The sequence below is a fragment of the Homo sapiens genome, chromosome 11, assembly GCF_000001405.40.
Source record: "Homo sapiens chromosome 11, GRCh38.p14 Primary Assembly".
Classification (NCBI taxonomy): domain Eukaryota; kingdom Metazoa; phylum Chordata; class Mammalia; order Primates; family Hominidae; genus Homo; species Homo sapiens.
This window is the reverse complement of record NC_000011.10, coordinates 90,082,224-90,105,117: the sequence shown is the minus strand read 5'-3', so window position 1 is coordinate 90,105,117 and position 22,894 is coordinate 90,082,224. Positions and strand designations below refer to the sequence as shown.

Sequence of the window (22,894 nt, the reverse complement as noted above, 5' to 3'; positions counted from 1 at the left end):
GAGAGGGGACCCAGTTCAGAATCTCAGTGCGTCCACACCGAACAATTCCATGAGGGCTGAGGAGATGGAGCTGAAAGGTTTGTCTGACATCACAAGAGACAGAAACCTGAGCCCCATTTTCATCTCTCTCCTGACAATGTTCCTGGCTTGATTTCCTCCTTCCAGCAGAGACAAGAATCAGGGAGCACACCCTGATGGGTAACATTTTTTTTCAGGGGCTTATCCTGGGGCTCCTGGTGAGAACCTGAGTCTGTCGCTGACCACGGCAGCCCAGCATGGTCCCCAGTGCGTGGCCCAAGGCCAAGATTCTGTACCTCCATCCTGGAGGCAGAAGAAATGCCTGGGGGAAAATGAGAGGTTTTAGTTGGTTGGCACTGGGTGAGACCAAGGAGAGCTTTTAAAGCTGTGTGTCCTGGGGTCGGGCGCGGTGGCTCACGCCTGTAATCCCAGCACTTTGAGAGGCCGAGGCGACAGATCACGAGGTCAGGAGATCAAGACAATCCGACCATCCTGGCTAACACGGTGAAACCCCGTCTCTACTAAAAATACAAAAAATTAGCCGGGCGTGGTGGCAGGTGCCTGTAGTCCAGCTACTCGGGAGGCTGAGGCAGTAGAATGGCGTGAACCCGGCAGGCAGAGCTTGCAGTGAGCGGAGATCGCCCCACTGCACTCCAGCCTGGGCAACAGGGCGAGACTGTCTCAAAAAAAATAAAAATAAAATAAAAATAAAAATAAAAAAAGCTGTGTGTCCTTTGTTTGCTTGTTTATTCATATTTTGCAGATTTCTGATGTCAAAATATTTTCATAGTCAAGAGTATTAATAAAGAATGAATTCTCTGTTATAAAAAACCCTAATAGTGAAGGTATTTACCAAGAAGTTAGATTCTATCTTTGGTTTTTTGTTTTTTGCCCCGTAGTTAAAAAAAGATAGTTTTATTGTATGGATATTCTACAGTTAGTGTATCTTTTCACCTCTTGATGGACATTTGGGTTGCTTCCAGTTGTTTTTGCTATTTCAAATAAAGTTGCTATGAATGTTTGTCCAACCGTTTGGACATACGCTTTCATTTGTCTTGGGTAAATACGCAGGATTTGAATGACTAGGTGGTGTGATATGTTTAACTTTTAAAGAAACTGACAAAGTGTCTATACTGTTTAATATTTCCAGCAGCGGTGTATGAGCATTCCAGTTCCTTTGTGTTCTCACCAATGTTTAGTATGGTCAGTCTTTCAAATTTTAGCTATTCTAATAGGGATGTAGCAGTATCTTATTGTGGTTTTAATTTGCAGTTCTCTAATGATGAATGATGTTGAACATCTTTCAATGTGCTTATTTATCATCCATCTGTCTTCTATGGTGAAATGTCTGTTCAGATCTTTACATTTGTGTTGGACTATTTGTTTTCTTATATTGAGTCCTGAGAGTTCTTTGTATATTTTGGATAACAAATATATCTTCACCAGATATAGCTTTTGTAAATATTTACTCCTAGTCTACGACTTGTCATTTTATTCTCTTGATAGTGTTTTTCACAGGTCAGATTAATTTTTATATAAATCATTTATTTTTATTATTTAAAATTTTATATTTTTTAAATTTATTTTTAATTTCCTTTTTAAAAGGTAAATACAATTTTAAGTGAAATGATGCAAAATTTTATTTAAAATTAAAGGTATATAAAAGTGTTGATATATACTAAAAAACTGAATAAGTAAGAAGGTAGTTGGCCGTCACAGTAGGAGTGAAGTGAAAAGCTTCCCCTTTCACCCTCTGACGATTACCCGAAATGAACTGACCATACACAGATTAATAAGAGAAAGGGCATACAAACTTACTTAACCTGCATAAACATGAGAGCCATACACAAAGTATAAGACTTGAAGATGGCTCAGATCTTAAATGCTCTCCTCATAGGCAACAGATATATAGACCCACGATGCAGACATTATTTTGTAAATAATTTCCTTAGGAAGCTGGATGGGACAGACAAATTATGGGAAGGTGAGAGATAGAACTGCACAGGAAAAAATTTGTCTTTGTCACTTTAATCTTATCATTACTAGAGAATATTTATGAACATTTTAGAATAATATATTTTTAAGCCCAAACCTCACCAAATGTTTTTTCTAAAACAAATACTTTTTTTTGTTGTTTGTTTGTTTTTGATACTGTGTCTCACTCTGTCACCTAGGTATGGAGTGCAGTGGCACAACCATGGCTCGCTGCAGCCTTGACCTCCTGGGCTCAAGCGATTCTCCTACCTCAGCCTTCCAAGTAGCTGGGCTACAGGCATGCACCATCATGCCCTGGTAATAAAAAAAAAAAATTTGTTTTAGAGACTGGGTCTCATTATGTCGCCTTGGCTGGTCTTGAACTCCTGGACTCAACTGTTTCTCATGCTTTGGCTTCCCAAATGATTGGGATTATAGGTGTAAGCCACAGTCCCTGACAACATATTTCTATACTTCACTGAGGAAAGGAAGGTGCTAGGAAAATTGGTTAAGAAATATTTTTTAAAAAGCTATTAGTAGTGTTTTGTTTTATTTTATTTTATTTTTAAATGACAGATTGATTTTTGAAATGGGGGTCTCACTATGTTGCCCAGGCTAGTTTCACATTCCCAGGTTCAAGCAAATACCCCTGCCTCAGTCTCCCAAGTAGCTGGGATGGCAGGTGTGTGACTCCATACCCAGCTCTATTAGTAGTGTTTTTAAAAATTATGGGCCACTGGATAAGAATAATAATTATTTTTTTAATTAAAGATTATTTTTAAAAAAGCACATTTGTAGAAAATTACTGGCATAATCTGCCTAAATATATATATCTATATATACATATTGAAAAAAGTTTGCTCTGAACAAAAAGAAATACATTCAACACACACACACACTCACACACACACTATGGAAGATTTAGAGACCAGGCAATAATTTTCACTCAATCCAAAGACAATGCAATCCCAGAGCTGAATATTTAGGTGAAAAAATATATCAGGAAAGGGAGGCATTCAGGTTTAATTACCATGTTTTGGTAGAGTTAGGATGTGAGTTTTCATTTAAAAATATTCTTTATTAGTTTTTTCTGCTATTGTGGTTTCTGTATTGTTACTATGCAATTTATAAACTAAATAGTAAAAGAGAGAAAAGTGATTTTCAAAGAAGCTGGCTTGGGAACAGGTACTATACTGGGAAGATGAAAGGTTTCACTTAATGACTGGTACCTGTGCCACTCGGGTTATTTTGACTGTTAACCTTTTAGCAAGAGGTTTTTCTTTTAAAAGACATCCTTTAATATTTGTGAAGCTAGTGCAATAGTACACATTGAGGCCCACATACCACATGTCAAATATTTAAAAGGCATATTTCTAGCTAACCACTGTACATACATATTTTTTCTCTCTTATTTTTTTATTTTAGTTTTTTTCCTTGTCAACAACTTAATTTTATGTGCACACATATCTTCTATCATCCCACTCTGACAAATAATATTATACCTTCAAAACGATGTGGAAGGCTAGGTTGGAATTTAGAATCATAGAACCTTGTAATTATACAGGCAAGTTTCTTCCTGGGAAAAAATAAAACAGGAAGAAAAGGCCGGGGAGCCTGTGGTCCGGGCAGGAAATTCAGGGATCCCTTATAGCAGCATCTCTAGTACTTGGGAACTGAACAGACTTCTCGGCCTGTGAGGCTGGACTAGGCCCTTCTGGAGGACACAACAGAGAAGTTATCTACTGCCTTTGCTCCCAGGGCCCAGGCAACACTTTTACCCTCCATTGCTTGTTTCCGAAGTTAAGGTGAGGCTACAATGTTCTGTCTAGTGACCTCGACAGAGAAAGTGTTCTCCTGAAACCACTCATTTTTTACTTTCCTTCTTCCTGAATTGCCTGGACCCACTCCTCCTCCATTTGACTGGCTCTGTGCACTGATGTTATAGTCAGGAGATTTTTGGGAATTGTGGCTTCTAAAAATGTACACCCGACTCTACCCATAGCTGGCCCTGTGAACCTATGCACCTGCTCCACTGTGTCTGCTTCTCATAGAGACACTCTTCCTGCTGAGTCTCTGACCTCTGCTCCTAGATCCAAATGGCATCTCCTGCCCTATCCCTGTATGGCTTAACCTAGGGAAACTCTTTCCCAGAGGAGTCAGGTAAAAAGACAGTGGCTGAGCTTCTTACAGATTTAAAGGAGACATCCTGGAATTTAGGACTCCATCCTTCCTTTCTGTCCCCTGGCAGCTCCTGCTGCTTCTCAAAGTTTAGCTTTGTCTCTCATCCAGCTCAGACTGTTGCTGGTCCTGATGGCCTCTGCTTAGCTGTATTAGTATGTTCTTGCATTGCTATAAAGAAATACATGAGAAATACCTTTAGTTGGCTCATGGTTCCATAGGGTATACAGGAAGCATGGTGGTTTCTGCTTGTGGGGAGGCCTCAGGAAACTTTTACTCAAGGTGCAGTGCAAAAAAAAAAAAAAAAAAAAAAAAAAAAGCTACCAGCACCGCAATGTGGAGTCCTGATCCCTGAGCTAACTTCATAGTATTACCTCTACAGCAAGCGTCGGTGAGAAAATAGATATATTTCTTAAGTGAGTACACAATTTACAGAAGAGGAACTACCCTCCCAAACCAAAACAAAAATGTCCTAATTATAATTTGCCAGCAAACCTAGGTTCCTTCTGTGAAATGATCTCATGTGCTGAGTTTTAAAATTGACTAAATTTCCCAATTTCCAAATGAAAATATTTAGTTACCTTGTCTTACTATGTGTTTTTGGTTAATATGATGATTAATTTTTGGCCTATTACTTAATATATTCCATGACTATTGATATGGAGTATAAGGACTCACAAAGTAGTTTTCAGATGTCTTTAATTTTTTTACTTAGTGTAGATCCTATAAATGGATTAGGAGTATTCTATTAACTCCCATGTATTCAGAAATCGAATTGGAGTGGTAAATTCTATTTGAGGTAACAAGGGATATCAAAGGAAAAAAATAATTTTGTGACTATGTCTTCTATATGTAAATTTTTCATGCATCTTTACCAATGGCTTATACTAAAGACATTTTCTGGATCATGGGTGACAGACAGAAGACATGTGGTTAAGTGGCATTGTGTACACTACTGCATTTTATCATCTGGTTTATTTTTAAACATTTAATTCTCTTGAGGATGTTTTATTAACCAGTACATCACCAGGTTAACAGTCTCTGGAACACTAAACTTACCAGAAAATACTTGTTGATTGAATTAACAAGAAAACAACATTAGAAAACAGTGGTGGCTTGTTTTTGTCTATTGCAGTATCTTGGAGAGTAAAGCCTAACTCTTTAATTTTGGCCAAAGATATTAAGAAATAACCGAGAAATACCTTTAGTTGGCTCATGGTTCCATAGGCTATACAGGAAGCATGGTGGTTTCTGCTTCTGGGGAGGCCTCCAACACTTACTGGCAGGGTAATTTTGAAGAAGTCATGATAAGATGGTTGTTAACAATTAAATGAAATAATCAAAGTGGAAGAGCTTAGTTAGCTGTCTTCCCTAAATGAATCACTGGCAAGTAAGAGTGTGACTGATTTTCCTATCAGTCAGGACTCACCCCTTGAAGCTATAGGAGGGTAAACCTCTGAAGACCATAAAATTTAGGGAACACTAACACTTCAAAAAACTCTGTAAACTTCCTTCCTTCTTTTCTTCCTTCCTTCTTCTCTCTCTCTCTTTCTTCCTTTCTTTCTTTTCTTTCTTTGTTCATTTTTAAGACAGTCTTGCTCTGTCACTCAGGCTAGAGTATAGTGGCTGGATTATGGCTCACTGCCGCCTTGACCTCCTGGGCTCAAGCAATCCTCTCACCTCAGCCTCTCTAGTAGCTGGGGCTATAGGCATGCTCAGGTAATTTTTTTCCTCTTTTTTTTTTTTTTTTTGTAGAGACAGGGTCTCATCATGTTGCCCAGGCTGGTCTTGAAGTCCTTGGATCAAGCAATCCTGCTGCCTCAGCCTCCCAAAGTGCTGGATTACAAGCGTGAGCCACTGTGCCCAGCCTTAAGTTTTTTTTCATACAGGAGGAAAGAATTTGGGAAAGTAGGTGTGTGTGTGTGTTCGTTAGGGAGCCAACACATTTTTCTGCAAAGCTTGAATTCTGTGCCTCAGTTTTTCATTTTCGTTATGTGTAAAATAAAATTCTATCCTGCTATAGATTTAAACTTGTGAGCTGATCCTACTCAAAACCTGATTCAAACTTTGCATAGATCTTTGTCTCTCTATGGCATAAGAATAAATTCTTCTGGGTTTCTTCCCTCAGAAAAATGGACTTAGAATTCCCACAAGCCTTCCAGAAAGAACTCACCTGCCTCATCTGCCTGAATTACCTCATAGACCCCATCACTATAGGCTGCTGGCACAGTTTCTGTAGGCCCTGCCTCTGCCTTTGCTGGGAAGAAGCCCACACTCCTGCCCTGCATGCAGGGAACCGTCACAGCAGGAAGATTTCAAAACCGATATTCTTCTGAAGAATCTAGTGTCCATTGTGAGAAAAGCCAGTCTCTGGCAATTCCTGAGCTCTAATGAACAAATGTGCGGGATCCACAGGGAGACAAAGATGTTCTGTGATGTGGGCAAGAGCCTGCTCTGTTTTCTGTGTTCTATCTCGCAGGAACACTGGGGCACAGAAACACTGGCCCACTGAAGGGGAAGCAAAGGAACACTGTGTAAGTGATGACTCTGAGAGCACTTTGAAAGCTGGAGGGCAGCACAGGTAAAGAGATTAGGAGGAAGATGAAGAGCATGAGGATTAATCTATTCTTTATTGAGTGTCATGTACTGCCTAGGTATCAATGATATAACTGTTATCCTGCTATGAAATCTACTCATAAGTGGCTCATATAACTTATATGCATTCATCATAACGCAAGAAATCCTCTGACTGCTCCTACCATCATGGCCCTTAGCCATATGACTTCTCTCCACACTAGCAGAAACTAATTGAGCCCTATGTTATATATATATATAATTTTTATATGATTTATAAACTATATCATATAAAATATATAATATATAAATATTTATACAATATATTATATATTATATATTTTATATGATATGCTTTATATTTTATATATAATTTATATATATTAATTAATTATATATAATTAACATATGTTTTATATATTTTATAGATGTACTTTATATATTTATATATAATATATATTATATATAAATATATATTTTATATATTTATATATAACATAAAAATACATACTTTATATATTGTATGTATAATATATATTATATATAAATATATACTTTATATATTTATATATAATATATATTATATATATACACCTTATATATTTATATATATTATATATTATATATAAATATAGAAAGTGTATATTTATATAAAATATATATTATATATAAATATATACTTTCTATATTTATATATAATACATATTATATATAAATATATACTTTATATATTTATATATAATATGTATTATATATAAATATATACTTTATATACTGTATATATAATATATATACAGTATTATATATTATATATATATAATATATATATATATAATATATATATAAAAAGAGAAGGTGGGCCTTCTCTTTTTTTGGCCCTATTGTGTCAGCCTTGTTTAATATGTAGTTTACTTACAGTAAATTCTTCTCAATACGGAACTTGATCCTGGAAGAGAATTTGGTCTGGTTATTTTAAGAGTTGTAGAAGCCATATGGTCCCAGCCTCTTTTTTATCTCATCCTGGACTCTTGCTTATTGATGTGTGCAAACTCCCACCCTACTTAGTTTCCGTAGCTGTTTTTTAATTGCCTTGCCCACTTTCTAATGAATCCTTGTTGCTGACTTGGGGGTTCTCAAATCCATAATATATTGTGTTCACCCTCTCTGCTTAATCTTGAAAGGATTCTGATTCCTCATGGATATTGCAGGTCTTCCTGATTTGTCTGTCACTATTTACACTGGGGATTTTTTGTAGGGCACATTGTTACCCAGTGTTGTTGTAAATATTGTTCATGAATTTTAATTTTGTTAACCTAGTTTTTCTCTGTTTTTCTTTAGAAGTTTGGAAATAGTCTGAAAGCACACTGTACCTCTCTATATTTTCAGAATTTTTAAGGTGAAATTTTTAAAAATGTGTAAACAAGAAATGCCTCTAAACTGGATCTCAGTGTGTTTAGCAGTTTCCATGAGCTGTGTGTAACAGAAGACTGGAACAAAGAAATGTAGAAGTAGATTCTCCACAAGCATCATGGCCTTCTTCACTTTGAATGTTTGGGTATGCTGTTTCCTCTGTCTGGACATCACTTGCACTTCCAATACTTCCTTTTTGAATTAATACTTGTTATATCAAGGACAAATTTTGATTTAATTTCCTTTCAGAAACATTTTTACATTTTAAAAATTGTACTGCACTTTCTATCAATTGCCATTGCATTCAACGCTCTCTCATTATTATGTACAAATATATAGTGTGTATATATATATGTATACACGCAAACACACACACACATACATACACACATACACAGACACAATCCACAACACTATTTTAAAACATTTCTGGTATACTTGGGTCAAATTTGGGACCAAATTCTAGCAAGGTAGTAGGTCTTTATGTGCATTGCAGATAAATATCATTAATTGCATTTAAATTTATTTAATGTAATATATATTGTTACATAATATGCATTACTTAAAGGTTTTCATTGGAATTAAGTAAAGGAGAAATATGGATGATGAAAGAAACAAAGAAGAAAAAAAGGTGACAGCCTAACATTTTCTATAAATCTACTGTGAGCTAGGTACTTTATAAGCATTAAGTCTAACATTTACCTATATCTAATCTCATTGTAATTTTTTTGTTTTGTTTGGTTTTGTGAGATGGAGTCTTGCTCTGTCACTTAGGCTGGAGTGCACTGGTATAATCAGGGCTCACTGCAACCTCTGCCTCCCAGGTTCAAGCAATTATCCTGCCTCAGCCTCTTGAGTAGCTGGGATTACAGGCATGTACCACTACATCTGGATAATTTTTGTATTTTTAGTAGAGATGGGGTTTCACCATGTTGGCCAGGCTGGTCTTGAACTCCTGACCTCAAGTGATCTGGCCTACTCAGCCTCCCAAAATGCTGGGATTATAGGCATGAGGCACCACACCTGGCCTAATCTAACCATAATTTTATTTCCAGTTCATGAATGTATAGATGAGGTAACAGAGAAGCAAAGAGATCAGTATTTTAACCAATGATATTTTAGTAAAATAGCAAACTCATAAGTTTAGTTTATATTTGTCAGTATTTGTGGTTTTTAAGCCAAATAATACCATCTTTAACTCTGAGTGTCATGCTGTCAAGAATTGTACCTTTGTGGGGAGGAGCCAAGATGGCTGAATACGAACAGCTCCGGTCTACAGCTCCCAGCATGAGCGACGCAGAAGACGGTGATTTCTGCATTTCCATCTGAGGTAACGGGTTCATCTCACTAGGGAGTGCCAGACAGTGGGCGCAGGTCAGTGGGTGCGCACACCGTGCGCGAGCCAAAGCAGGGCGAGGCATTGCCTCACTTGGGAAGCGCAAGGGGTCACAGAGCTCCCTTTCCGAGTCAAAGAAAGGGGTGACGGATGGCACCTGGAAAATCGGGTCACTCCCACCCAAATACTGCGCTTTTCCGACGGGCTTAAAAAATGGCGCACCACGAGATTATATCCGGCACCTGGCTTGGAGGGTCCTACGCCCACGGAGTCTCCTGATTGCTAGCACAGCAGTCTGAGATCAAACTGCAAGGCAGCAGTTAGGCTGGGGGAGGGGCGCCCGCCATTGCCCAGGCTTGATTAGGTAAACAAAGCAGCTGGGAAGCTCGAACTGGGCGGAGCCCACCACAGCTCAAGGAGGCCTGCCTGCCTCTGTAGGCTCCACCTCTGGGGGCAGGGCACAGACAAACAAAAAGACAGCAGTAACCTCTGCAGACTTAAATGTCCCTGTCTGACAGCTTTGAAGAGAGCAGTGGTTCTCCCAGCACGCAGCTGGAGATCTGAGAACGGGCAGACTGCCTCCTCAAGTGGGTCCCTGACCCCTGACCCCCGAGCAGCCTAACTGGGAGGCACCCCCCAGCAGGGGCACACTGACACCTCAAACGGCAGGGTATTCCAACAGACCTGCAGCTGAGGGTCCTGTCTGTTAGAAGGAAAACTAACAAACAGAAAGGACATCCACACCAAAAACCCATCTGTACATCACCATCATCAAAGACCAAAAGTAGATAAAACCACAAAGATGGGAAAAAAACAGAACAGAAAAACTGGAAACTCTAAAAAGCAGAGCGCCTCTCCTCCTCCAAAGGAACGCAGTTCCTCACCAGCAACGGAACAAAGCTGGATGGAGAATGACTTTGACGAGCTGAGAGAAGAAGGCTTCAGACGATCAAATTACTGTGAGCTACGGGAGGACATTCAAACCAAAGGCAAAGAAGTTGAAAACTTTGAAAAAAATTTAGAAGAATGTATAACTAGAATAACCAATACAGAGAAGTGCTTAAAGGAGCTGATGGAGCTGAAAACCAAGGCTCGAGAACTACGTGAAGAATGCAGAAGCCTCAGGAGCCGATGCGATCAACTAGAAGAAAGGGTATCAGCGATGGAAGATGAAATGAATGAAATGAAGCGAGAAGGGAAGTTTAGAGAAAAAAGAATAAAAAGAAATGAGCAAAGCCTCCAAGAAATATGGGACTATGTGAAAAGACCAAATCTACGTCTGATTGGTGTACCTGAAAGTGATGGGAAGAATGGAACCAAGTTGGAAAACCCTCTGCAGGATATTATCCAGGAGAACTTCCCCAATCTAGCAAGGCAGGCCAACATTCAGATTTAGGAAATACAGAGAACGCCACAAAGATACTCCTCGAGAAGAGCAACTCCAAGACACATAATTGTCAGATTCACCAAAGTTGAAATGAAGGAAAAAATGTTAAGGGCAGCCAGAGAGAAAGGTCGGGTTACCCTCAAAGGGAAGCCCATCAGACTAACAGCGGATCTCTTGGCAGAAACTCTACAAGCCAGAAGAGAGTGGGGGCCAATATTCAACATTCTTAAAGAAAAGAATTTTCAACCCAGAATTTCATATCCAGCCAAACTAAGCTTCATAAGCGAAGGAGAAATAAAATACTTTACAGACAAGCAAATGCTGAGAGATTTTGTCACCACCAGGCCTGCCCTAAAAGAGCTCCTGAAGGAAGCACTAAACATGGAAAGGAACAACCGGTACCAGCCACTGCAAAATAAATGCCAAAATGTAAAGATCATCAAGACTAGGAAGAAACTGCATCAACTAACGAGCAAAATAACCAGCTAACATCATAATGACAGGATCAAATTCACACATAACAATATTAACTTTAAATGTAAATGGACTAAATGCTCCAATTAAAAGACACAGACTGGCAAATTGGATAAAGAGTCAAGACCCATCAGTGTGCTATATTCAAGAAACCCATCTCACGTGCAGAGACACACATAGGCTCAAAATAAAAGGATAGAGGAAGATCTACCAAGCAAATGGAAAACAAAAAATGGCTGGGGTTGCAATCCTAGTCTCTGATAAAACAGACTTTAAACCAACAAAGATCAAAAGAGACAAAGAAGGCCATTACATAATGGTAAAGGGATCAATTCAACAAGAAGAGCTAACTATCCTAAATATATATGCACCCAATACAGGAGCACTCAGATTCATAAAGCAAGTCCTGAGTAACCTACAAAGAGACTTAGACTCCCACACATTAATAATGGGAGACTTTAACACCCCACTGTCAACATTAGACAGATCAACGAGACAGAAAGTCAACAAGGATACCCAGGAATTGAACTCAGCTCTTCACCAAGCAGACCTAATAGACATCTACAGAACTCTCCACCCCAAATCAACAGAATATACATTTTTTTCAGCACCACACCACACCTATTCCAAAATTGACCACATACTTGGAAATAAAGCTCTCCTCAGCAAATGTAAAAGAACAGAAATTATAACAAACCATCTCTCAGACCACAGTGCAATCAAACTAGAACTCAGGATTAAGAATCTCACTCAAAACCGCTCAACTGCATGGAAACTGAACAACCTGCTCCTGAATGACTACTGGGTACATAATGAAATGAAGGCAGAAATAAAGATGTTCTTTTAAACCAATGAGAACAAAGACACAATATACCAGAATCTCTGGGACGCATTCAAAGCAGTGTGTAGAGGGAAATTTATAGCACTAAATGCCCACAAGAGAAAGCAGGAAAGATCCAAAATTGGCACCCTAACATCACAATTAAAAGAACTAGAAAAGCAAGAGCAAACACATTCAAAAGCTAGCAGAAGGCAAGAAATAACTAAAATCAGAGCAGAATTGAAGGAAATAGAGACACAAAAAACCCTTCAAAAAATTAATGAATCCAGGAGCTGGTTTTTTGAAAGGGTCAACAAAATTGATAGACCACTAGCAAGACTAATAAAGAAAAAAAGAGAGAAGAATCTAATAGACGCAATAAAAAATGATAAAGGGCATATCACCACCGATCCCACAGAAATACAAACTACCATCAGAGAATACTACAAACACCTCTACGCAAATAAACTAGAAAATCTAGAAGAAGTGGATAAATTCCTCGACACATACACTCTCCCAAGACTAAACCAGGAAGAAGTTGAATCTCTGAATAGACCAATAACAGGATCTGAAATTGTGGCAATAATCAATAGCTTACCAACCAAAAAGAGTCCAGGACCAGATGGATTCACAGCTGAATTCTACCAGAGGTACAAGGAGGAACTGGTACCATTCCTTCTGAAAGTATTCCAATCAATAGAAAAAGAGGGACTCCTCCCTAACTCATTTTATGAGGCCAGCATCATTCTGATACCAAAGCCAGGCAGAGACACAACCAAAAAAGAGAATTTTAGACCAATATCCTTGATGAACATTGATGCAAAAACCCTCAATAAAATACTGGCAAAACGAATCCAGCAGCACATCAAAAAGCTTATCCACCACGATCAAGTGGGCTTCATCCCTGGGATACAAGGCTGGTTCAATATACGCAAATCAATAAATGTAATCCAGCCTATAAACAGAGCCAAAGACAAAAACCACATGATTATCTCAATAGATGCAGAAAAAGCCTTTGACAAAATTCAACAACCCTTCATGCTAAAAACTCTCAATAAATTAGGTATTGATGGGACGTATTTCAAAATAATAAGAGCTATCTATGACAAACTCACAGCCAATATCATACTGAATGGGCAAAAACTGGAAGCATTCCCTTTGAAAACTGGCACAAGACAGGGATGTCCTCTCTCACCACTCCTATTCAACATAGTGTTGGAAGTTCTGGCCAGGGCAATTAGGCAGGAGAAGGAAATAAAGGGTATTCAATTAGGAAAAGAGGGAGTCAAATTGTCCCTGTTTGCAGACGACATGATTGTATATCTAGAAAACCCCATCGTCTCAGCCCAAAATCTCCTTAAGCTGATAAGCAACTTCAGCAAAGTCTCAGGTTACAAAATCAATGTACAAAAGTCACAAGCATTCTTATACACCAACAACAGACAAACAGAGAGCCAAATCATGAGTGAACTCCCATTCACAATTGCTTCAAAGAGAATAAAATACCTAGGAATCCAACTTACAAGGGATGTGAAGGACCTCTTCAAGGAGAACTACAAACCACTGCTCAAGGAAATAAAAGAGGATACAAACAAATGGAAGAACATTCCATGCTCATGGGTAGGAAGAATCAATATCATGAAAATGGCCATACTGCCCAAGGTAATTTACAGATTCACTGCCATCCCCATCAAGCTACCAATGCCTTTCTTCACAGAATTGGAAAAAACTACTTTAAAGTTCATATGGAACCAAAAAAGAGCCCGCATCGTCCAGTCAATCCTAAGCCAAAAGAACAAAGCTGGAGGCATCATGCTACCTGACTTCAAACTATACTACAAGGCTACAGTAACCAAAGCAGCATGGTACTGGTACCAAAACAGAGATATAGATCAATGGAACAGAACAGAGCCCTCAGAAATAACGCCGCATGTCTACAACTATCTGATCTTTGACAAACCTGAGAAAAACAAGCAATGGGGAAAGGATTCCCTATTTAATAAATGGTGCTGGGAAAACTGGCTAGCCATATGTAGAAAGCTGAAACTGGATCCCTTCCTTACACCTTATACAAAAATCAATTCAAGATGGACTAAAGACTTAAACGTTAGACCTAAAACCATAAAAACCCTGGCAGAAAACCTAGGCATTACCATTCAGGACATAGGCATGGGCAAGGACTTCATGTCTAAACCACCAAAAGCAATGGCAACAAAAGACAAAATTGACAAATGGGATCTAATTAAACTAAAGAGCTTCTGCACAGCAAAAGAAACTACCATCAGAGTGAACAGGCAACCTACAAAATGGGAGAAAATTTTCACAACCTACTCATCTGACAAAGGGCTAATATCCAGAATCTACAATGAACTCAAACAAATTTACAAGAAAAAAACAAACAACCCCATCAAAAAGTGGGCCAAGGACATGAACAGACACTTCTCAAAAGAAGACATTTATGCAGCCAAAAAACACATGAAAAAATGCTCATCATCACTGGCCATCAGAGAAATGCAAATCAAAACCACAATGAGATACCATCTCACACCAGTTAGAATGGCCATCATTAAAAAGTCAGGAAACAACAGGTGCTGGAGAGGATGTGGAGAAATAGGAACACTTTTACACTGTTGGTGGGACTGTAAACTAGTTCAACCATTGTGGAAGTCAGTGTGGCGATTCCTCAGGGATCTAGAACTGGAAATACCATTTGACCCAGCCATCCCATTACTGGGTATATACCCAAATGACTATAAATCATGCTGCTATAAAGACACACGCACACGTATGTTTATTGCGGCATTATTCACAATAGCAAAGACTTGGAACCAACCCAAATGTCCAACAATGATAGACTGGATTAAGAAAATGTGGCACATATACACCATGGAATACTATGCAGCCATAAAAAATGATGAGTTCATGTCCTTTGTAGGGACGTGGATGAAATTGGAAAACATCATTCTCAGTAAACTATCGCAAGAACAAAAAACCAAACACCACATATTCTCACTCATAGGTGGGAATTGAACAATGAGATCACATGGACACAGGAAGGGGAATATCACACTGTGGGGACTGTTGTGGGGTGGGGGGAGGGGGGAGGGATAGCATTGGGAGATATACCTAATGCTAGATGACGAGTTACTGGGTGCAGTGCACCAGCATGGCACATGTATACATATGTAACTAACCTGCACATTGTGCACATGTACCCTAAAACTTAAAGTATAATTAAAAAAATGAAAAACAAACAAACAAAAAAGAATTGTACCTTTAATCTCTGTATCCCACACAAGGAGGGCAAGTCTTAAAAAGAGTAGGTGCTGAATAAACTTAAAAACATTTCATTTAAAATCACTACTAAAGCCCCAATTGAATTTGTACATCTCACCATCTAGCCTGGGCTATGGGCCTTACTACTAGTTAGTGGCAAATGTGACTTACATTATCTCCTGAATTGGAAATAAAAAGAATCAGATCTTTAAAGTTAATTTTGCAAACTTGATGTTAAGAGAAACAAAGGACATAATATGCAAACACATTTTCTAAATAAGTTCAACCCATTGGCTGGGCTCGGTGGCTCATGCCTGTAATCCCAGCGCCAAGACGGGTGGATCACAAGGTCAGGAGATCGAGACCATCCTGGCTAATGGTGAAACCCCGTCTCTAATAAAAATACAAAAAAAATTAGTCAGGAGTGGTGGCGGGAGCCTGTAGTCCCAGCTACTCGGGAGGCTGAGGCAGGAGAATGGCATGAACCCGGGAGGTGGAGCTTGCAGTGAGCCGAGATCTCTCCACTGCACTCTAGCCTGGGCAACAGAGCCAGACTCTGTCTCAAAAAAAAAAAAAAAAATTCAACCCATCAGCCATCTAGAATTCGTATAAAAATACCTAAATCTCCAGAATCTGTAAGAAAATGAAAGTATGATGGTAAATTGTATGTGTCAGCTTGAACTGGTCTCTGTAAAGTAGGCTTCCCTCCCCAGTATGGGATGTGCATTATCCAACCCATTTAAGGCCTGCATAGAACAAAGGGCAGATGATAGAGGAGTGTGACCCTTTCTGTCCTGTCTCACTGCTTAACTAGTATATCTCGTCTTATCTTCACCTACACTTGAATTAGGGTTTACACCATTGGCTGCCCTGCTTCCCAGGCCTTCAGACTCAGATTGAATTACACCTCTGGCTTTCCTAAGTGTCCAGCTTGCAGATTGCAGATCATGATATTTTTTGCCTCCACAATTTTGTGAGCCAATTCTTCATAATAAAATTAGTCTCTTTGTCTCTCTCCTCTCTACTATTCTATCACTCTCTCTGTCACTTTGTTTCTCTATCTATGTTGGTGGTTCTGTTTCTCTGCAGGATGATGACTAATACAGTAAGAAAAAATTACATAAATATATGATAAAATAAATTTGTTAAAAATCGATATGCATTAAAAATTAAAAGCAAATAATAATAAAAGTAAATAGCAATTTTCTTATTTTTAATAATTTATTTCAAATGTACACATCAGCATAATTTTCATGATTTTAAATTCTGTAAGCATTAGGTTAAAAGTCAGAAGCAAGCCAAGAACAGATTATTGTTGTTACTTAACATTCTTCTGGATATTTTAATCCAACACATTTAGAAATTAGAGGTATAAAAATGGTAAACATTGCCATTATTCTCTGAAACTTATTATTTATTTAGAAAAAACTTATAAGTAAAATTTTCCTAAGATATCTAGGGACAAAATAAACACTCATTATTCAATGGTTTTTATACAAAAAGAATACAACTAGTTCTGTGATGCTAATATTCATGAGAACGAAGTATGAAAATAGCCAGAAATGTTTAATAGAATAAAGGTATACTGAGAAGGCACTAACTTTAGGTAGATTTTCAAACATATTAGTAAACCAAAAAATTAAAACAATGTGACACTGGTGCATGAATTCTTAGATAGAGCAGATAGTGAAACAGGATAGTGTACTCATCTATATCTGTCTTTCTCTACATCTTTGTATCAATCCTGAATGCTAAAGGTGAGATTCACTTGCACCTGAAGCAGCAGGAAAAATTTGGAGCTTCAAGAATAAATGAAGATATAACTTAGAGAAGCTGCACCCAGTGTCACAAATGATTCTGTGGAGGAGCTCTTTCAGATTAAATCAGTAACTTTTTATTTTGTATTTTCATTTTTTTTTTGAAATAAGCAAGAAAAGTCTAATTGAGAACTGAGTCAGATATACATGTAGAAATATTACTCCCTACTCCCAGGCATGGGAATGGCCAACTCCTTACTTCAGGGAGGGGAGGAGAGAGATATCAAGAGTGGGACAATTCTCTTAAGACACCTACCCCACCTTTCATCAAATATCCCCGACCTTAGATTTAGTGCAGGAGTCCTGAAAAACATTTCCACAGGGAAGTTTGGGTCCCAGGCTTATGGGTATCCCCCTACCACCTTTGGCAGGACAAAAATGAGTAAAGCAAAGCTTCTTGCTTCAGAAATATTCAGTCTAATACAGTGTGTACCCCACAACGTAATCATCTCTTCATTTCAGAAGCCTTAATTGCATAAAGTTCCTCGGGAAAGGGATGATATTTGTTTGTTTGTTTTTTTAAGGATAAGGCCAGTATTGGCTCAAACTTATATTTATTCTTCCCAAAGAGTTCCTCCCAGGTTCATAATCTTGATGTAGGAGAGTGCTGCACCAAGTTGCTTCTTTCTTCCCAACCTGTCCTACTTTGCGGGAGGAAGGAAGAAAAGAAAACAAACAAACAAAAAAAAAAAAACAAGGAAGCTGCACTAGAGCCACTGCCCTCAGACATCAACTTCTATTTCTTCTCCACTGCTGCAGTCTGAAGAGTTACTGCTTTCTTCCTTTTCTCTATCTTTCTTCCTGTTCTCTTCTGGTTCCATGGAGACATGACAGTTTACCCAAATAGTCTGTGATGAATCTGTTCCTGCAGCCTGGAGCCCTTGCCCCTCCCCAAACCCTTCTTGCAGACCCTTTGCTGATGAGGACTGTGGATCTGCTTGTTTCAACCTGGGGTCCGGGCCTCCTGTCATGGCCATATTCTTACCCTTAGCATAGGTCGATTCTTTGTATGCAGCATAATTTTCAGGTGACAAAGTCTTGAGCCAGAGATCCAATTTCACCTTGTATTGCTTCTGCAGCTCCTCAGCCTGGCTCTTAAAATGATCCTTCTGGCTCTGCGGGATGCGCTGCCAGCGTCTGCCAATCTCTACCATGCGCTCCCTCACTGACAAATGTTGCATCTCTTTACTTGACCAGGAATCTTGGTGAAACTTGTGGTATCCATTCATGGGGGGTTTCTGAGGCTCTCCATGAAATTTTACCTTCTTGAAAAATCGATCCGTTTTTGGAAGAGACCTCACTTCTTCAATATTTTTCTGAAACTTCTTTTGCACTTTGTTTTGAGTCCTCTTGGAGACACTAGATTTCTTGGCCTTCTGGACTAAATCAGGGTGTTCTTCCCTGAATCGAGCAAGTTTTTCCTCAAATTCTTGCTTTTCCTTCCGGAAATCCTGAATATATTTCTGTTTCATCTGCTCTGGGAGTTCCCTGTATTTCTTTGACAGGATTTTGGTCAGTTCCTGGCTTCTCATCCCAGGGTACATTTGGGAGTACTGGGGCCAACTCTCCTTGAAGAAGCGATTGTAAGCAGTAAGGGGCCTCTTTGGAAAGTCTGGACCGTTCCTGTATTTTTGGCTTTTGTTCATCTTTTTAACACATTTCTTAGCTTCCAGGACTAATTCTTTCAAAGTGCCGAATTTTCTCAAGTTGCAAGAAATCTCTAACCATTTGAGTCTGCACATTTCACCAGAAAAGTTTTTAAAAGCTACTTTTCCCCAGTCCATGTGTGACTGAGTTGAGCTAAACGTGCTGTTGTCATCAGATGGGCGATTATTCTCCATGCATTCCAGTAACCTCAAGATGTCTTTGTTGGACCAATGGCCTTGGCTTCTAGGCAAAGCCATTTAGATGTCTTTGGCTTACTTATAAGATCCCGGTTATGTAGACACCAGAGCAAGAACACAGAGTTCTTTACTTTTAAGACTCAGTGGATGATTTATTTCTGGAAGTATTGCAGTATGTGTGATTCTGTATTTCTGAGGAGAAAGAAAGTTACTCTCCTTCATTTGGATTAATGAAGCAAATTACATCCTATTTGTCATATGTCCCTTGTATAATTCATTTGACCCTTAACTATAAATAAACATTGCCTGTTTCTGAATTAAATTTATGTTTGCCTTTCATATGCTACATGCACAATATTCAGTATCTCCACACCCCACCCCAGCCTGCTTTCTGCCAGATCTCACATGAACCTATCTTAAATTGAGTTGCATAACACAAACACCAGACCACTCATCACTTAAGAAGCTTAATATAACAGAAATGCCCTGAAGACAGAGTCAGAAGTTAAAGTGGAAGGAGAAATGCCTAAACAGGAAGGACTGTTCATTCTACAGTGCCCTGAGTATGGCCATTTTCTAAGCACAGCCCAAATAGCCATAGCTAAAGGTGCAGATGAGAAGTTAAAGATACAATCGGACAAGCCCAAGAGCTCCTCCAGACATGCATCCAACTGTTACCTTTTTATAAGGGAATGTGAACCTGTGATAAAAGACTGAATTATAGATTCTCCAGGACCAGTGCATGGGAATTAATGCTTTCTTGCTTTCTTTTATTTCTTTTTTTTTTTTTTAATTGAGACGGAGTTTCACTCTTGTCGCCCGGGTTAGAGTGCAGTGGGGCAATCTGGGCTCACTGCAACCTCTGTTTTTCAGCTTCAAGTGATTCTCCTGCCTCAGCCTCCCAAGCAGCTGAGATTACAGGCATGTGCCACCACGACTGGCTAATTTTTCTGTATTTTTTAGTAGAGATGGGGTTTCACCATGTTGGCCAGGCTGGTCTCGAATTCCCAACCTCAGGTGATCCGCCTGCCTCGGCTTCCCAGAGCGCTAGGATTACAGGCGTGAGCCACCACTCCTGGGCCGGGAATGAATGCTTTCTAAGAACCATACTGCTTCTCCTTTTAAATATCAAGGATTTAATGACAATTATAAAACATTTCAACTTTATTTGGTTAATTGTTCATCATATTTAAGCCTCAGTGAAAGTTTGGCTTCCTCCAGAAACTCCCTCCAGAATACCTGCCATTTTCCATTACAAAACTTGAAAATGTGGCAGATCTGATGACTACTCCTTTTTTTTTTTTTTTTTTTAGCAATTCTGTCTTGCCTGAAGTAATTCTTCTGGCACGTGATTTCTGGATTCACTCTTGAAATTCTCATAACTCTTTCACTAGTCTTTTTAGGATGATCTTCTATTCTAAGACTAAGCCTCACATAAATAAAATTGTGTACGAATACATACAACATTAAATAAAACCGAATCTTAAATGGAGGGTGAATAAGGAGTGTAACAGTGGGCCTTCAGGGGGAAAATATGCATTAGAAGGGAAAGAGAACAGAGTTAAGATACTGGTGGAAGTTGAAATTCTGAGAATGAGTTCTGAATATCTGAGAATAATATTTTTGAGAACTATTTTTAATTCTCAGTAGAGTATAGAAGGATGTAGCCTTTGAATGACATTAAAAATTCACTAGAAGTGTAAAGAATAATAGTCATAATATCACGTAAGTCACAAATGTCTCAAAACATAGATTAAAATGTTCTGAAATATTGGAATATAATTAAAGTCCATATTTGAGACAGAAGAGAAAATAAATAATAGCTTATATATTATATTAAATTTATTATGTGAAAAAGACTTTTGGGAAGTTGTTCCATAATAAATGAAGATATAAATAACTATAATTAAAATTTACAAAAAAAAAGCATTAAAATAAACTGTGAAAAACTTAAAAGAATGTAAAATTTAAAGTTATTAAATTTTTCATCTCAAAAATCATAAAAAAGTCATTTCATCAATGTCCTATGAAAATTAAAATAAAACAAACTTAGTAATGTAACAAATAAAAAGAGTAATTAAGAAAAAAGTAACTTTCACAAATCAAAGTTAAAAAAAAGAAAAAATAATGGATTCCATACTTTGTGTTTAAGATCAGAACATAGTCTCAAATGGTTCAGAAATAAAAAATGTCAGACTTCCAAATATATTGTGGTGATTATAAATAATAAAAATAAATAAATACAAGATGTATTCTAACTCAGAAAAAAGGGAAAAAACATAGAATTGACATTAGAAAAGAGGTGTGAAATATTCAGAATCTGAATTTAGGAAAAAAGAAGTACCATCTTCCCAATTGTAAAAGTTAGGGTGATGTGCGTAAAGCAGTGGAAATAAAAATACAGTTGTGTTTTTGTTGTTATGGGGCTGTTTTCTGAGCCAGACATTTTTTTCAAATTGCCAGTTAAAGAGTGGCCCCCCGAAATATATGTCTAAGTCCTAACCACTGAAACCTGTGAATATGGACTTTTGAAAATAGGATCTTTGCAGATGTAACTACCTTGGTAATCTCCCAACAAGATTAGTCTGGGTTTAGGGTGGGACCTAAGTCCAATGACTGGTATCCTTAGAGAAAAAATAAAAGGAAAATCTGAGACACATAGACAGCCATGTGGAGACAGAGGCAGAGACAGAGCTCACTAGAGCTATGCTGCCACAAGCCAATGAAAGCCAAGGATTCTCATCACCCACCAGAAGCTAGCAGAGAGGCAGGAGGTGGATTTCCCCTCAGAATTTCCAAAGGGAACCACTCTATCAACATGTTGATTTTAAATGTTAGGCATTCAGAAATGTGAGAGAGCAAATTATTGTTTTATCTGTGATAGTTTATTACAGCAGCCCCAGGAACCTAATATGCAAATGTTTTACATTTATTATTAATATCTTATTTTTCTCCTTAAAACTCTGTGAGCTCATTTTATGCTTGCTGTTCCATTACATATATGACGAAACTGTGACCAGGCATGGTGACTCATGCCTGTAATCCCAGCACTTTTGGAGCCTAAGATCCAAAAGGAGGGTCGTTTGAACTCAGGAGTTTGAGACAAGCCTGGGCAACAAAGTGAGAGACTCCTGTCAAAAAAAAAAACAAAAAACAAAAACAAGAAAGAAAGACAGAAAGAAAGAAAAAGAAAGAAAGAAAGAAAAAGAATGAAAGAGAAAGAAAGAAAGAAAGGAAGGAAGGAAGAAAGGAAGGAAGGAAGGAAGAAAGACAGACAGACAGACAGACAGAAAGAAAGAAAGAAAGAAAGAAAGAAAGAAAGAAAGAAGGAAAGAAACTGGGAAAACTAAGAATTTATATAGGGCCAGGCACAGTGGCTCATGCCTGTAATTTGAACATTTTTGGAGGCTGATGCAGGAAGATTGCTTGAGTTCAGGAGTTCCAGACCAGCCTGGGCAGCATGGAGAGACCCCATGTCTACAAAAACAAAAATTTAGCCAGGCCCACACTTGTAGTGCCTGTAGTCCCAACTACTCTGGAGGCTGAGGTGAGAGGATGGCTTGAGCACAGGAGGTCAAGACTTCAGTGAGCCTTGATTGTATCACTGCACTTCAGACTAGGCAACAGAGTGAGACTCTCTGTCTCAAAAAAATTGACCTTGTCAATGTTGTGTGATTTTCCCTTTTCTGTGTCATAATCCATCTAATTTTTATTTTTCATTTTTTATCACAATCACTTACGAAATACTTAGAAGTTTAAGACATTTTATTCCTGAACCATTTGAGA

General features: G+C 38.3%; 1 protein-coding gene across 1 annotated transcript, besides 2 other annotated features; it reads right to left on the bottom strand.

The window, feature by feature from the left end:
* Positions 456-957: an enhancer, noted in NCBI's record as "H3K4me1 hESC enhancer chr11:89837329-89837830 (GRCh37/hg19 assembly coordinates)". NCBI's record gives its function as "activates a minimal SCP1, AML or CMV promoter by ChIP-STARR-seq in naive H9 embryonic stem cells {active_cell/tissue: H9 hESC(naive)}" and the evidence as "EXISTENCE:reporter gene assay evidence [ECO:0000049][PMID:30033119]".
* Positions 8,996-9,651: an enhancer, noted in NCBI's record as "OCT4-NANOG-H3K27ac-H3K4me1 hESC enhancer chr11:89828635-89829290 (GRCh37/hg19 assembly coordinates)". NCBI's record gives its function as "activates a minimal SCP1, AML or CMV promoter by ChIP-STARR-seq in primed H9 embryonic stem cells {active_cell/tissue: H9 hESC(primed)}" and the evidence as "EXISTENCE:reporter gene assay evidence [ECO:0000049][PMID:30033119]".
* UBTFL1 (upstream binding transcription factor like 1) lies at positions 17,987-19,168 on the bottom strand. Its single transcript, NM_001143975.1, has one exon. It carries the CDS (start codon positions 19,166-19,168, stop codon positions 17,987-17,989), a length of 1,182 nt encoding a protein of 393 aa, NP_001137447.1.
* Positions 19,169-22,894: the final 3,726 nt, after the last annotated feature.

Coding starts and splice junctions, on each gene's coding strand:
- UBTFL1 (NM_001143975.1), bottom strand. CDS start 19,168: ATGGCTTTGCCTAGAAGCCAAGGCCATTGGTCCAACAAAGACATCTTG.